The 17,633-nt window shown below is 38.4% G+C and overlaps 1 long non-coding RNA gene across 1 annotated transcript in view, besides 1 other annotated feature; it reads left to right on the top strand.

Moving 5' to 3' along the window:
• Positions 1-17,351, top strand: part of LOC100506474 (uncharacterized) — a 40,232-nt gene extending 22,881 nt beyond the window's left edge. Inside the window, exons 5-6 of the long non-coding RNA NR_038434.1 lie at positions 3,015-3,096; positions 16,100-17,351. This is a non-coding gene — a long non-coding RNA (uncharacterized LOC100506474). The remainder of the gene's footprint in view (positions 1-3,014; positions 3,097-16,099) is intronic.
• Positions 2,804-3,307: an enhancer, noted in NCBI's record as "OCT4-NANOG hESC enhancer chr2:13120952-13121455 (GRCh37/hg19 assembly coordinates)". NCBI's record gives its function as "activates a minimal SCP1, AML or CMV promoter by ChIP-STARR-seq in primed H9 embryonic stem cells {active_cell/tissue: H9 hESC(primed)}" and the evidence as "EXISTENCE:reporter gene assay evidence [ECO:0000049][PMID:30033119]".
• Positions 17,352-17,633: the final 282 nt, after the last annotated feature.

The raw sequence follows: 17,633 nt of genomic DNA, 5'->3' as shown, positions 1-17,633 counted from the left end.
ACTCTTTCTTCCCCACCTCCACCTCCCCATACCCTCCCAGGGCATCTACCTCCCTCCGAGGTGGCGGCCCAGGTGCCACCTCTGCTCGCCTCAGTGGGTCAGTCATGCCACAGACTGGTCTGTACATTTTCTTCCATGACCTTTCAGAAAAAATCTTGCCATTTTCTCGCCTCATTTGTCTCTCCTGAAGTGTGTCCTTCCCTGGACAACATCAGAGGGCTTAGAGAAAATCTGATGCCTGTAAGTGAGTGGCCTCGGGGCCAGAGATGAATGAAAATACAAAGAAATAGATCTCAGGACCCCATGTTAAGGATACGATTTTTGGTTTTCAAAATATGGCTAGGAAGTTTCAAGCAAACCTAAGTACCTGGTGCTAACAGTAGGCACAGCAAGAAAAGGCAGCTATAAAGGTCTAGAAAGCAGAGTGATATTAGGCCACATTTCATTAAAAGGAACTGTTTTGCAAAGGCAATTCTGTAGCATGGTAAAACCAACTATATTTTTAATCTACCATGCCCTGTAGGTACTATGCTAGATCCTTCACTTACGGGTTTTATTTAATACTTAACAGGAGAATAGTCATTATTTTCCCTTTAATGTAAACAAGAAAACTAAAACTCACATAAGTTACGTAACATGTTGTAATAGTCTGTTCTCACATTGCTATAAAGATACTACCTGAGACTGGATAATTTATAAAGAAAGTAGATGTAATTGACTCACAGTTCAACATGGCTGGGGAGGCCTCAGGAAACTTACAATCATAGTGGAAGGTGAAGGGGAAGCAGGCACCTTCTTCACAAGGTGACAGAAGAGAAAGAGAGAGCAGGGGAAACTGCCACTTTTAAAACCATCAGACCTCCTGAGAACGCCCTCATTATCACAAGAACAACATGGTGAAAACCGACCCCATAATCCAATCACCTCCCACCAGGTCTCACCCTCAATGTGTGGGGATTACAAATTGATGTGAGATTTAGATGGGAACACAGAGCTAAACCATATCACAGTTACCTGTATTAACTACTTAATTCTGACAGTGTTCTGGATGACATAGCATGCTGAGAGGCAAGGTGAGTTGCTAGGCTCAGATCCTTTTTGGTCTGTTCTATTGCTCAGTGGATTAATATGACCAGGGTTAAGATCCAACATAAATTCTTAGGATGCTTTCATTTTACTTTATTTTCTTCAGGTCAGAAAATAGGTTTAGCTTTTCCCTGTCCTTGCATCTATAAATCTCTACCCAAAATGTAGAGATTGTAATAAGTGCCAGGTGATTAACTTGTTAAGACAATTAGGGTATTGTTTAGGAAATGTGGGTTGCATTCTCAATTCTTTGGAGATTGGCTACCTGCTTATTGATTTAAAGACTATTATCATTTCAAGAGATCTAGAGTCCAGTGACCTTGACCCAGTTCCTGTTAGCAATTTTTAATTTGCAGATGAAAAACCTGAGACCCAGAATGATGAAATGATGAGGTGCTTTGTCAAAGTCATTGAACAAATTAGTAAAAGAAAATAGGCCAGAATTTGGAACTATGGAAACTTATATCCAAACTTATCCCTCCACTTGAACTAGAGACTTTTGTTCCTTTCTGAGAAATGGGGTTAAAACATTACCCATAGGTAAACATTTGATCACATGGCCAGCAGCTGGTTTACACTGACTATTAAGCAGTGATCTCTGCTCTCTCTTAGAAACTTGAATTCCTAAAAGGCGGTTGCAGGACTTACTCATCTTCCTGTATCATATTCTTCCATCATCTTTTTCCTGAATGGGATATTAGACCACTTGGAAAATTTTTACAAATGCATATTGTATCCATGTGTGCAATACAAGCCCTGCTTCAAATATGTATGTACATTGGCAACCTCTTCTGTTCCTTTCAGGAAGTTGAAAACAGATGTTTCAATTAAACTAGTAACTGTGCTTCTGTATTTGTGTCTGGAATTCAAAAAACTTCCATCCAGTGGATTAAAGTCACATTCATACAATTTACCTGATGAAGTGGGAGAATAACATATTTGATATATTCAGAAATATTTTGTCATTGGAAGGTATTTTTCATTTACCTAAAAAGGTATTTGAAAAGATATGTATGAACCAAGGACTGAAATTCCACTTTGCCCAATTATTATACTTTAACAAATATCTCCTGCTCTAAATCATTAGGACTGCTATGGACTGAATATTTGTGTCTTCTCTCCAGAAATTCATATGTTGAAACCCTCATCACAATGTGAGGATATTAGGAAGTGGGGTCTTTGGGAGATAATTAGTCCATGAAACTGAAATCATCATGAATGGGATTAGTGCTCTTATAAGAAGATGCTAGAAAGCTAGCTATCCCTCTCTATGTCATATAAGCATACACAGGATGGGTGTCTATAAACCAGAAATGGGGTACTCACCAGGACCCTAACAATGCTGGCACCCTGTCCTTAACCTTCTAGCTTCCAGAACTATAAGAAATAAATTTGTGTTGTTTAAGACACCCAGTTTATGATATTTTTAGAACAGCCTGTGCTAAGACAAGGACTTATTGATATGCCATATCATATTGCTTGCTAATGCCTTCCAGGTAGCCTCCTTTGTCTACATAGGAAGATGCCAATCTTCTTATACATCAATAAACCATGTTTGTTTCTTGTAATCTTCAGGAACTATCATAGTAAATAATGTATTTTTATACTGGGTGTTCACCGAATACCTCCTTTTTCATTTCAGTGAGCGTTTGTTATCTATTACATTCCAGGCTCTTAGAAAGTAAAATTAAGTAAAAATTGGTTCCCGCCTTCAAAGAGCTCCTATTTTTATGAAGGGTACATACATGGACTCGGCAGTATACAATATAATAAATGTACATTCTACAGACTATCAATGATCGTCTCTACGTATACCAGACTTTATGTTAGAGGTTAGAAATACAAATATTAATAGAATTCAGCCTCTGCCTGGGAGGCAAGAGGCACTCTCCAGGAGTGCCCAGTTTCCTGTTTTCTCCCTCTTTCAGTCCAGTGAGAGAGACATGATGGCCCAGCTTGAAAAAGAAATTGAGGATAGCAAGTGTAACATACCAAGCATTCCACGAGCAGGTAAGTTACAGCACATATTGGAATTCCGGCCTCCTGATTTCCTCTTTATGGCTTGCCAACCCTCTTCGTCAGCATTTGACATGGGAACTCTGGGCTAAAAGATAATAGGTTCATACTAGGCCTGGAGGGGCTGGAGGCTTAATGAAGGGGAGGGCAGGATATAGCTGTGGAAACCTGCTCTGTCTTTATATTCTAACGTCCTCTCTTTCACTCTTCTGTTAGTGAGAAAGAGAGATCTGTAAAAAAATATGTGCTGTTACCCAGCTTCCACACCCCAATGAGAACAGCAACCCACTCCTCCCCTAGGGGCTCAACTCAGTCCTTCTGCTTATTAGGTTTGTTTTTACTTAAAAAAAAAAAAAAGTGTGCCTGCAGCTTGTTTTCATCTCATAAAGACTGGTTGAACACCATGAAAATTGGCATTCATTTTTCACCTGATGATTTTATTGGCCACTATGTTTTAATCTAACATTGACACTTTGCTTGCTTCTGTTCTCTTCTCTTGACCTTGCCTTTTATTTGATCTGAAATAACCCAATTAAATTAGCTTGGCACTTGCTGTTCTGCAGTAAAGCACACCGAGGCTTTGCTGGTGATACTGGGATCTGTTATTCGTTTCAGTTGTTCACAGTTAAGCCTAAGTCCTCTCTGTCTTCAAAATGTAAGAGAGGCCATTCCGTCATTCATTCATTCATTCATTCTACAGACTTTCATTGATCATCTCTATTTATAACACACTTTATGTTGGAGGTTAGAGATACAGATTTTAATAGAATTCATTCCATGCCTGGAAGGAGCCAGAATGAATATGGTATAGAGTGATGAGTGCTTGAACAGAGGTGCACAGACTGTGCTATCAGGGCACAGAGAAGGTAGCAAGAAAAAGCACATGGAAAACTAGGTTTTATGGAAGAAAAGGAATCTGAGGTAATGTATTGAAGAATAATGAATCAGATGATGGTGAGAAGATGGCCTTTTCAGGTCAAGAATGGGATGTGCAAAGGCACAGATGCATGAACATGTCAGTGTATTCAGAGACTGATGTGGTGTGTGGTCACCTAGAGGTGAAGGCGGCATAGGGTGAGCAAAGTGAGAAGGGTCTGCTTGGGAAGGTAAGGAGCAAATAAAAGAATTTGAAAGCAGGCTGAGCAGGTAGGTGGACATTTACCCTGAAGGCCAGTGGATCCGATGCTAGAGTCCATGTGCTGATGTTAAGAGTTCATAAGCTACCCGAAATGTCATATATTTTGCCTACATACGCATATTATGTGTTGGGAAGAGGGAGAAAGGAAGACGACTTACAAAACTGTGATGAACTATTCAAAGACTTTTTTTGCCCCAAATAATTTGAAGCCATTTCTGTAGGAAACAATGCACCATTGTAGAGTGTTAAGATGATGAGAAAATGATTAATTGAAGTGCTTGAGAAATTCTTAATATGCAATCAAATTATTTGCTTCCTGTGTCTTTAACGTAAATAAGTGCAATTGTTGTTTTCATAGTGTGCCGAAAAATACTTATTGTGATCAGTCAGAAAAATTTGAAGATTTTTGACCAGCTATACAGACTCCTTCTTAACTTTTGGCAACTTTGTTTGCTTCCAAAATTGGTCATCTGGGAAATTTTGAAATAGGTATTATTTGAAAACAAAGCACTCTATTTGAAAGTGCTTGCTGACTCTTGCCCATAGGCAGCATGGCATTTCAGGCAAGGGTGTGTCGCAAGGTCTCTGGGTCTGTGAGCCATGGCTCTGAATAAAACATGGAGTGGCTGACGCATGCACTGGCATTAGCCTCATCTTTTCCATATTCATAGCTTCTACACAATTTTTAAACAAATGCCTGTATTTTCATCATGAGCAAAAACGCAGTCTGGAAGCCCCCTTGGGAGCTTATGCAAGAGTTTTACACAGGATTTGAACCTTGAACCTTTTCTACCTCTACACTGCATGAATGATGTAAATTCTCCACAGTTTGGGGAAAATGTGATGCACATCAGTAACAATTACCATTTTGGTCACAAAATAAATGATATATTTTTCTGATAAATAAGTGAAGCAAAATATCCAACAGTCACTACTCTGTGAGACTTGATTCAGAGAGAAAGTGATGGCTATCTATATTTCAAATGACACATTTAATAGAAAGAACAAAAAAGGAGACCCTATGACCTGGCAATCTTGGGATTTGACAGACGCATTTCAGAGCCTTAGTTACAACCTAGTCTAGTTAAATGAAATTGAGGTCTAGGTTTCATTATTGGATGTTAGAAGTTAAATTGCAGGTAAATAAATATACAAATTGGAATAAAAAGGGCAATGCCCCAGGCAACTGAAGTTAGGCTTACTAAGTGCAAGTGCTTTTTTTCTAAGTATGATCTTACTTAAATCCCACAATAGCCCCATAAGGTTTTCATTATGTTTTACTTCCTTTTAAAGATTAAGAAAAAAAAAAAAAAGAAGACCCAGTAAGTGGCTTTCTCAATTTAGTCAGTGATAAACGTGGATTCTGTGTGTTAGTTTGGTAATGATTATTGTTATAGCAAAATCCCCCAAATTGCAATGACTTATCAAAATAGAAGTTAATTTCTCCCTCCTGGAGAGTCCAACATAGATGTACCTTGGTGGTCAGAAAGTCTTCACCGTCTTAATTCTGGGATTTGGTTCTTTCTAACTTGTAACTGATCCATGCCCAAGTCTATGAAGTTCCTGATTTCTAGCCAGGGCACAGGGAGGTGAGGAAGGCTTACCCATTTTGCAATATTACAGCGCTGAAAACTGTCACATCAGCTTGCTTAGAAGCAGGAAGGATTTTACAATATTGTTCCATTCTGGGCAAGCACTTCCCAGAAACAACTGCATACTATAGAACAGTAGTTGACAGTTTTGGTAGACGATTTGTTGTCTCTGTTAAAGTTTCTGTCCCTAGTTCAGTTTATTATATGAAGTTAGTGGTATTCAATGCAATCAGATCCAAATCCGTTTTATAATAAATAGTTGAATACTTTCTTTGTTATCTGGAATTATAATGGATAAGTTATACTACCTACTTATATACAAGTTTTCGAAAAGTAAGTAGAATTTTTCATGTAACATAAAAAAAAGTAACAGGCAGTTATGACAAATAATAGATGTTTTAAGACATGAATACTGAAAAATAACCACCCTAAAAGATATAATGTATTAGATATTTGTGCATAAGTATAGAATCACTGTATATGTGATAGCGACAAACACAAACTGACTTCTGTTTTGTATTAGATATTCAAATTTCATTTGCACTGATGCCTTTGTTTACATGATTTTTCCAATAGAGCACAGCAAGTCTTAGTAAAGTTTCAAGAAAAATAATTTACAATCTTCCTTCAGTACAGAACAGAAGTATCTTCATGTATTGCATATTAAAACCATGAAAACATTACTTTGTACTTATATGTAAAATGAGGTTGGGTTTTTATTCCTAAATAATTATAAGTGGGTTTTTTTGTTTGTTTGTTTTACCTACATGAATGGGCAAATGGTTGAGTGCATGGGGTGTGTTTAGTAGTTTCACAGTTGGCAACCCAATCCTGTCTTTGGCCCATTAAATTTGAATAATGTCTTACCGATTATTGTAAACAACAGAGGGATCGTCCAAAATTTACAAAATGCTACCCAGAGAAGTCATATTGCTTTCTTGAGTTTATATATATATACACACATACACATATATATACACATACATATATATGTATATATGTGTATATGTATGTGTATATATATATATATAGAGAGAGAGAGAGAGAGAGAATCGTTTTAGATTTACAGAAAAATCATGAAAATAGTACTAAAAGTTCCCATAGACCCGCAACCAATTTCCCCCATTAGTGACATATCCTCATATGGTACCCGAGTCACAATTTTGAGCTAAAAATGGATATATAATTATTCATTAAGTCCAAGTTTGTTCAGATTTCCTGATTTTTGATAACCTAGAAAGTTTTCAGTACTCGTCAGGTTATTTTGTAAAATGTCCTTCAATTAGGATTTACCTGATATTTTCCTCATTATTAGACTTGCATTATGTGATTTGGGGAGGAAGACCATGAAGGTAAAGTGTCCTTCTCATCATATCGTATGAACGATGCCTGCTGTCACCATGACTGCTCACTCTTGATGTTGACCTTGCTCACTTAGCTGAAATAGTGTTGGTCGAGATTCCTCACTAAAGTAACTCTGTTTTCTTTTTTCCATACTGTACTGTTGGAAATGAAGTCACTAAGTACAAGTCCAGGCTTAAGGAGCAGGGAGTTATGCTTTACCACCTTGAGGGAGAGGATCAACATAAATTATTTGGGGCTTTTCTGCATGGAAAATCTCGCTCTTCTCTGTGTTTTTTAAGCTTATTCAATCATTTATTTATATGTACTTATATGAATATATATCCATAAGTACATACTGATATACATAAAGATTTAAAAATGTTAAAATATAAAAGTTAAATATAAAAAATAAATTAAAAAGAAATACATTTGGGAATCAGAGAGGAGAGACAATTTGGTGTATAATTCAAACTATTTAATTTTGTTTTTCAAATTGAGTTTTGGCCATTGTTGCTCTCTCAGTTAGTGTTTTGTTTTGTTTTGTTTTGTTTTGTGAGATAGAGTATTGCCCTGTCACCCAGGCTGGAGTGCAGTGGTGCAATCTTGGCTCACTGCAACCTCTGCCTCCCAGGCTCAAGCAATTCTCCTGCCTCAGGCTCCCAAGTAGCTGGGATTGCAGGCATGCACCACCATGCCCAGCTGTTTTTTTTATTATTTTTATTTTTAGTAGAGACAGGGTTTTGCTATATTGGCCAGCCTGTTCTCAAACTTCTGGCCTCAAGTGATCCACCAGCCTCGGCCTCCCACAGTGCTGGGATTACGGGCTTGAGCCATCACAACTGGCCTCAGTTGACTTTTTTTTTTTTAATATATATACCCACAATATTGTGGGCTCTTCTTCTCCCCCGTCCTTTTTTTTTTTTTCTGAGAACTCTCTTATTTACTGATGCTACAAGATGCTCCAGGCTTATCCTGTATATTTTTTGACTAAGTCCTGGAATCAGCCATTTCTCCAAGGAGCCATAGTTTCTTTCACTGGAGAATCAAATCAAAAACCCAAATCTGTATGCTAGGTGTCCTCATTGCTACTGAGAGTCATGACTTCTAGGTCCTCTTTCATGACAATTCAAAAACATAAATGTGTGTATATTCACCCCTTGTGTATACACACATATCTTTATTTTTATATGTAACCATTTATATTTATCTAAACAGGAGTTCTTACTGATGTTGGCAACTCTACTCCATTACCACATAGATCAGCTTAACATTCTCCTCCTGCTTGTCTTAACCTCTCCCTGAAGCAGTGAGAAACATGGCTTGCTCTGTCTTCCATCCATTTACTTAATTATTCAATTCCAGCATAAATGTACAATGGTGTCAGAATTGTTAACTTGTACTCCTGGGGGAAACAACTTTTCAACTAGAATACATAGCTTTTATACAGTTATTTTTTGCCTTTAGTCTTACAGATTTCTCTCACCCTCTTCAGAGTGGTTATTTCATACATTTAAACTACAGTTGGGTTATTTTGTCAAAGTTTGCATTCCATCCTTAAATCCTTCATTTTCTTTTTTTTTTTTTAGTTGACATGCACTAAAGTTTGCTCTCTATGCTATCATTTCAATAGGTTTCTACAAATGCATTGTGTTATTTATCTACTATTACCTTACTGTAAACAATAGTTCACTACCTAAAAAAAAAAAAAAAAAAGAAGTTCTTTGCTTCACCTATCAACCCTTGAAAATTGTGGTGGTCTTTTTATAGTTCCTATAGTTTTCCTTTTCCATAATGTCATATGAATAGAATCATAAATTATGTAGTCTTTTCAGATTGGTGTCTTCACTTAGCAATGTGCATTTAAGATTCCTTTATGCCTTCATGTGGCTTGATAGTTTATTCCGTTTTGTAAGTTAATAGTATTCTGTTGTATAGATGAAGCATTTGTTTATCTATTCTCCTACTGAAGGACACCTTTGTTGTTTTCAGTTTTTGATGATTATCAAAGAACTGCTATAAACCGTCGTATGTAGGTTTTGTGTGTCAGTGTAAGTTTTTCAATCAGTTGAGTAAATTCCTGGAAGTGAAATTGCTTTATTGTATGGTAAAACTATGTTTAGCTTTAGTGCGACAAGGACAAACTGTTTTCAAAGTGGCTGTGCCATTTAGCCTTCTCACTAGCAAGGGATTCATTATAAAATCATAATAATAGTCCACATTCAGTATTCTCAATTGAGATATTAATGTACTTGGGTAGAGCAATTAGTTTTAAATTTCAAGACTGTCTTGCACATTGCAAGAAGTTTAGCATTCCTGAGCTCCTGGTGCTAAATGCCAGTGGACCCTCAATCACTGTTACAACCAAAAGCCCCCTCAATATCGTTTAATGTTCTCAAGCAGAGGGGAGATGTACCACCACATGATAAACTGCATTGACCTCTATAAAGAGTTTATAATAAATTTGAAAAGCTTATGTCATAATAAGAAAAATTAAAGATACAAAATTAGCTCTTCAATGAAAAAAAGGTGTCCAGATTATATTAAAAGCTGAAATAAAATATATTAACATATCAAGGAAAATCAGCTCTATATGTTGGACTATGAGTAAATTGGTACCAGTAGAGTCAGGTATTGCTGAAAACATACCCAAAAATGTGGAAGCAACTTTGGAACTGGCTAACAGGCAGAGCTTGGAACAGTTTTGAAGGCTCAGAAGAAGATAGGAAAATGTGTGAAAGTTTCGAACCTCCCAGAGACTTGTTGAATGGCTTTGACAAAAATGCTGATAGTGATATGAACAATAAGATCCAGGCTGAGGTGGTCTCAGATGGAGATGAGGAACCTATTGAGAATTGGAACAAAGGTGACTCTTGTTATGTTTTAGCCAAAAGACTGTGGCAGTTTGTCCCTGCCTTAGAGACTTGTGGAACTTTGAACTTGAGAGAAATGATTTAGGATATGTGGTGGAAGAAATTTCTAAGCAGCAAAGCATTCAAGAGGTGACTTGGGTGCTGTTAAAGGCATTCAATTTTAAAAGGGAAACAGCATAAAAGTTCAGAAATTTTGCAGCCTGATGATGCAGTAGAAAAGAAAATCCCATTATTTTTGAGAGGAAATTCAAGCCAGCTGCAGAAATTTGCATAAATAGCAAGGAGCCTAATGTTAATCCCAAGACCATGGGGAAAAGGTCTCCAGGCCGTGTCAGAGAACTTCACAGCAGCCCCTCCCATACAGGCTCAGAGGCCCTGGAGGAAAAAGTGATTTTGTGAGCTAGGCCCAGGGTCCCTGTGTTGTGTGCAGCCTAGGGACATGTACCCTGTGTCCCAGATGCTCTAGCCATGGCTGAAAGGGGCCAATGTAGAATTTGGGCTGTGGCTTCAGAGGGTGGACCCCCAAGGCTTGGCAGGTTCTACATGGTGTTGAGCCTGCCGATGCACAAAAGTCAAGAATTGAGCTTTGGGAACCTCCGATGCCTGGATGCCCAGGCAAAAGTTTTCTTCAGGGGTGGGGCCCTCATGGAGAACCTCTGCTAGGGCAGCGTGGAAGGGAAATACAGAATCAGAGCCCCCACACAGAGTCCCTACTGGGGCATTGCCTAATGGAGCTGTGAGAAGTTGGCCCCCATCCTCCAGACCCCAGAATGGTAGATCCACTGACAGCTTGCACCATGTGCCTGGAAAAGCCACAGACACTCAATGCCAGCCTGTGAAAGCAGCAGGGAGGGAGGCTGTACCCTACAAAGCCACAGGGGTTGAGCTGCCTAAGACCATGGGAACCCATCTTTTGCATCAGCATGACCTGGATGTGAGACCTGGAGTCAAAGGAGATCATTTTGGAGCTTTAAAACTTGACTGCCCCGCTGGATTTCAGACATGCATGAGGCCTGTAACCCGTTTGTTTTGGCCAATTTCTCCCACTTGGAACAACTGTATTTACCCAATACCTGTACCCCCATTGTATCTAGGAAGTAATTAGCTTGTTTTTGATTTACAGGCTCATAGGCAGAAGGGATTTGCCTTATCTCAGATGAGACTTTGGACTGTGGACTCTTGAGTTAATGCTGAAATGAGTTAAAACTTTGGGGAACTGTCAGAAAGGCATGATTGGTTTTGAAATGTGAGGACATGAGATTTGGAGGGGCCGGGGCAGAATGATATGGTTTGGCTGTGTCTCCATCAAAATCTTGACTTGAATTGTATCTTCCAGAATTCCAATGTGTTGTGGGACCTAGGGGGAGGTAATTGAATCATGGGGGCCAACCTTTCCCGTGTTATTTTCATGATAGTGAATAAGTCTCATGAGATCTGATTGGTTTATCTGGGGTTTCTGCTTTGCTTCTTCCTCATTTTCTCTTGCCGCCACCGTGTAAGAAGTGCCTTTCATGTCCCACCATGATTCTGAGGACCCCCCCAGCCATATGGAACTGTAAGTCTAATTAACTTTCTTTTTCTTCCTGGTTTCCAGTATGTCTTTATCAGCAGTGTGAAAACAAATTAATACAATAACTAATTTTTTCCTTATTTACTCTCTTTTAATTTTTATTTTGTAATTAGTGTATAGGAAGTACTCTTTTAAGAGAAAAACAAAGAATTATTCAAAAATGATTCTATAGCAAAATAATTCAGTTTATTATATTGTGTGGATTGTGAACAGCTCTTTCTGAGAAAGGGATGTTCATATGTTTTAGACATTCTTCCATTCTTTTTCTGAATCAAGGCCAATGTTCTCATATACTCTGTTTGATTGAAAATGGTGACAGGACAAAAACGAGAGACAGGGAAAATGGCAGAAAACAACCAGAAGGATTTTTCTCCCCCATGTTCTGTGTGTGCTTCCAAATGGATTCTGCAAGGATAACAGATGATCTCAACTGACTGTACCTTTCCTTCTCCAATTGTTTTGAATCTCCAATTGCAATTTAAAACACCAGAGCTTTCTGTTTAAGATATAAATTTTCTTCACATTATATTTCAGAAAGGGAAAAAATGAGTAAAGTTAACAATATAAGGCATGTTGAGAGGAGAAGACTCTTTAAAACTATTTTAACTTCTCATAAGACAGGTAATTTTAGCATAAGACATTTTGCCTGGCAACTGTTACCAGTGGATTTGAATGTTAAGGGAGATGTTGTAGAATATCATATCCTGGCTATTTTCCACTCACTGATGAAAACTAGTTGAAGACATTTACAAGAGCAAAATGATGTCTGTAGGGACTGCTAAGAACATTTTCAGCTGAGCTTAGGGGGAAAAACGTACTTTTGTGCCAGACAGATCTAAGTTACAAACCCGTCTCAACTTCTTTCTAGCTCTATGCCCTCAGACAAGTGAGTCAATCTCTCTGTGCCGCAATTTCCTTATCATACAATGAAGATTCTGACTGGTTATTGAAAAAATTAAATACGTAAGATTTCTAACACCCTTGAAGACATATTTAACATATTCATATTTTCCAGGACCTGAAGTTAAGAGAAGGAATTAATTTAAGTCAGCATCAAACCAATGTTTGCTGCTCTTTTGCTCACTGGCTTTTAAGAAATTGAGTATTTTCTTACTTTAAAAGAGGAAAATAAATCATATTGTAATCACCTTATACGTTTATCAGATATCTATTGCTTTATAACTAGTCACCCTAAAAGTTAGTGGCTAATAACAAAAATCCATTTATTGTTTCTCATGATTCTGTGGGTTGGCTAAAACATTCTGCTCAACTTGCCTGGGCTTAATCATGCGTCTGCATTGAGGTAGAATTTCAGCTGGGGTAGAAATGTTGAAAACGGTCTCATTTACAGGTCTGGTGATTGGCTCTGTCTATTGGCTGGGTCTCCTTGGTTCTCTCCAACGTGGCCTCTCATCCTCCAGTAGACTAGACTGATCTTGTTTATATGATGGCAAAGGCATTCCAAGACACAAGTGTACAAGCCACAAGGAATTCACACAACATCACTTTTACCCCCATTCTATTGCCAGAGTGAGTCACAAGATAGCCTGGCTTCCAGAGGCAAGGAAACTGATGCCATCTCTTTATGGAATGAGCTACAAATATCGCAGCCACATTTTTTTCAGTCTACCACAACACATTTCAGGACTTTTAATAATTAATTATCACAAATGCTTTGTGAGATGAACATTGTTATTCACATTAATTAAATATTAGCTAGCAAATTTAGAATGAATTATAGTGTATGGTGGTTAAAGGTAAAGATTTTGGAATCAAATTGTCTTGATAAGAATTCAAGCTCCCTCTATTCCCACTCTTAAACAAATTGAGTGAACTCAGGTGAGTCACTTGATTTATTAGTTTCCTATTTTTGTTATAACAAATTACTAAAAACTGAGGTGCCAGCAGGACTTAGTTCCTTCAGGAGGCTCTAGCAGAGATTATTTTTCCTTGCTTTTTCCAACTTCTAGAGACTGCCCACATTCCTTGGCTCATGTTCCCACATCGCTCTGACCTCTCTTTCATCATTACACACAGTCCTGACTCTGACCTTCTTGCCTCCCTCTTTATAAGGACTCTTGTGATTATATTTGGCCCACCTGGATAATCTAAAACAAGCTGCCCAACTCAATTTTCTTAAGTTAATTGTATCTGCAAAGTCCCTTTTGCTAAGTAAAGTAACGTATTCAGAGGTTCAAGGGATTAGGATGTGAACATCTTTGGGTGGAGCAGCCCCTTTTTCAGCCTAAAACACTTGGACAAGTCATTCTCCACGGCCTCAATGTTCTCATCTGGTCATGGGAGTAATAATAGCTATATCATAGCTTTGTTATGAAGTTTCTGTGAGTTAAATATAGGTGGTATTTACAACAATGTCTGACACTGAGGAAGCTCTCTATAAGCAACAGCTATTGCTACTCTCATTATCATTACAGCTTCACCTGGCTTACTAAATGGGAAGTAACCATCTAAACTCATATTTGGCTGCACATGAATTCTGAATAAATCATTCATTTTTAAATAATTGATAATTTTTATATATTTTGTCACTATTCATGCATAGTAAACATATCAAACTGCCAAGAAACAAGTGTCTGGTTAGAAACCTGGTTGAAATTGTGCAAATATAGAAAAGGGGCTAAAAATGAACTTTTAATAAATATAGTCCATGCACAGTGGCTCAGGCCTGTAATCTCAGCACTTTGGGAGGCTGAGGCAGGCAGATCACCTGAGGTTGGGAGTTTGAGACCAGCCTGAACAACATGGAAAAACCCTGTCTCTACTCAAAATACAAAATTAGTCAGGCGTGGTGGTGCATGCCTGTAATCCCAGCTACCTGGGAGACTGAGGCAGGAGAATCATGTGAACCCAAGGGGGGTGGAGTTTGTGGTGAGCCGAGATTGTGCCATTGCACTCCAGCCTGGGCAACAAGAGTGAAATTCCGCCTCAAAAAAAAGAAAAAAATTAAACTTAACAGAACACATCCTGAGTGCTTACCAGGTGACCCTGTACAGCTTACTTTCTCATACATTGTCTTATTTATCGCTCCCAAAGTCCTCTCTTATTGGTGACTTCCTCATCAAAGTACACATTATTATTTTCATCTTACAAATGAGAAAAACAGAACTCCAAATGGTTGAGGATACTCAGGTCCCAAAGCAATTCAAGTCAGTCTCACGATGAAAAGCCTGCTCTCATCCCATCCAACTGGATTGTCATAAAAGGAATTTTTATCAAACAACTTCCAGCATATATTGCAGTTTACACTTTCACTTGCCTTGTTTGTGTGAAGAGAAGTCATAAGAATATTCTTCCCTCAATTTCTCCAAATAAATACGAAGGGAAAAATCTAGTGCAGTCAGGATGGCAATCTTACAAGCATGGCCCTTGGTAGCCCAACCTGGAGACAGCCCGAAGAGGCAGTCCTCTAAAAGCTCTGAAAATAGGTAGGCAAGTCTTAAAGTCAAAAAGGCACTCAGTCCACGTCAACTAATTGCATTTTAGAAAAGTGAGTATAAATAAAGGATTTATTGGTGGGCACAAGGCAAGTGGGGTATGTGGAAACCTGTTTTTACCAGCGTGGGCAGTTACCAGCCTGAGTGGTCCTCACAAACGCAGACATCGAGCCCACTAGGTCAGGGTTTGGATACGGTGTTGTTGCGTACAGGATTCTTTAGGGTTTAGAGGAAAGAAAAGAAAGTGAAAAGCAAACCCAGAGGATACTTGGAGAGCGGCTGAGACTAATAAAGAGTAGGAACATCTTTCATATTACTTTGTTATTTGGAAAATGTTATCAAAAACCAAAGGACACATGAATTCAGGAAAAAGTGACAGCTATATTAAGTTTTTATATAATTTAACTCATACAATGAAGCTGAGAGTTTATTACTCCCATTTTACAGATGATAAAGCTGAGTCTCTGGGATATTACATTGGTGCAAAAGTAATTGCGGTTTTTGCCATTAAAAAAATGACAAAAAAACACAATTACTTTTGCACCAACCTAATAATTAACTTTGCTGAGATCACAAAGCCGGTAAGTGACAGAACTAGAAACAGAGTCTAGGTATTCTTGCTCTGAATCCAACATAATTGCAGAAACATCAGGTGTGTGTTTGCCTCCAAAATGTTCACCAGTCTTTCTTACCATTGTGGTATCTATAGATAGAGTTCAAAGGTATGAGAAAGGGTGTTTATGAATGGCTTGTTAATGGAGGTATGAGCAGAGTGAAGGGAACCGATGAGGCACAGCTACACCCTAGCTCCAGAGCCTGGCAATAGCGGGGAGCAGCTACTGCCTGTAGGCCTGGAAGGGAGAGAGGAGGAAGCAAAATTACAGAACCCTGGAGTGCTGGAGCCCTGAGAGAAGGGTGCCCCACAGAATCTGAGTGTTGGCAGAGATGTAGCTACTTTCAAGCCATGGGCCTGAGGCGGACAGGGGTTGTGTGGATAAACCCTCAGACTTCTCTTTTCCCTTGTTCAGTGTCCCTCTAGGTTCTCTGATTGGCTGAAGCTACTCTAAGCCAAGAGATCAAAGAAGCTGATAATGTAGAATGTAAGTTTGTCTCCTGGGCCACAATGGAAAGCAGAGACTGTAGCTGGAGGAGTGAATAGAGGATATGCAGCTCTGGTAATTCTCAGTACAATTCCCAGTGGTCCACTCTGCAGAATGAACCAAGTTCCATTTTGCCCAACTTCTGGCAGTCCACATTTGGACTGTGAGCTCACCTACAGATAAATCGTACGTGGATTGATGCAGTAACTGGATTTGTAGCTGCTAAATCTTATTTAAGTGAGGACCTGTCCAGTACATGTGAAGACCACCCATCCACTGAAAGTGATAAGTGAAGCTGAATCAATACTAGACTGAATCAATACTGAGCTGAATCAATACTTTCCCAATTTTGAGGAAATCTTGGAAAATCTCTGAGAAATGTGGTAGTAATTATTTTGAAGAATTGGAAAACTTTATAGCTGATTATGCTATGTGTGGAAGATACAACAGGATTATAAGAGAGAGAAGACAATATCCTTGCTGTGTCCAGAAGGCTTTAGCCGGGGTGTCCTACTGAGAGATGACAAACTTAAGGTTTTTCTCTTCCCAGACATTACTGGACAACTAGCTATGTAATTAGGTCTTATGCCGAAAAGACTGAAAGGAAAACATCTCAGATCTAGGAATGTGATCAAGAAAGAAGGCTGGTTAAAGAATAACATGGGGAAAATGAATGCAGTGAAATGGTTCACGCACAAGTTCTAGGAATTCAGAGTGCAACAGCAGAAATGCGATTTTTGTTAGATATTTCAGAAAGTGATGTGAGTCCCTGAGGTCATACTGCAGCGTTCAGGTTCTGTTTGGCCTCCTGCACGAAGCTTTCCTTGATTGGAAAAGCTGCATACTCTGAAGCACATCGCATGTGTCCTGTCTGTAGTTCATTTCATTTCCCCAGATTTGTTATCATCCACCATCACTCATACAAGCCTACCTTCTTCATGCCAACCTTTGTAATCTTTCTACCTTGCTAACCTGGTCATGTCAAGGACCAGCTAATAAATAGCAAAGTTGTACCTTGAGCCAAGGTATCTTGACTCTTAGTCCAGTGCTCTTTATATACCTCTGAAGTCTTATTTGAGCTTCAAAATTATGAGTCTGTGCTCTCAAGATTTTTTTGAAAATGTACTTAATGTTGCCCCTAAGCTTTTATGAGAAATAATAAAGTTCTTTCCAGATTGAATATCTAATAACTCCATTTCATTTTATGCTTTCTCATGTATGGATGTCTATAACTGGAATGCTATTTGGGCTACTGAGATATTTTCTTAATTCTCTGTTTTGTGTTAGTTCTTTTTGTTTGTTTATTTGACAACCATATTTTTGCACCTGAGATAAATCTGGCATTCTATTCAACTTCAATTTCAAAGAGAATCTGAGAATGTACTGGTAGAACGATATTTGAATACTAATATCTTGGAAATACAGAAATAAGTATCATACATTTTGTTACATTCTGTTTGTG

The sequence above is a fragment of the Homo sapiens genome, chromosome 2, assembly GCF_000001405.40.
Source record: "Homo sapiens chromosome 2, GRCh38.p14 Primary Assembly".
Classification (NCBI taxonomy): domain Eukaryota; kingdom Metazoa; phylum Chordata; class Mammalia; order Primates; family Hominidae; genus Homo; species Homo sapiens.
Note: the sequence above shows the minus strand (reverse complement) of the source record. Positions and strands in the feature narration are given on the sequence as shown.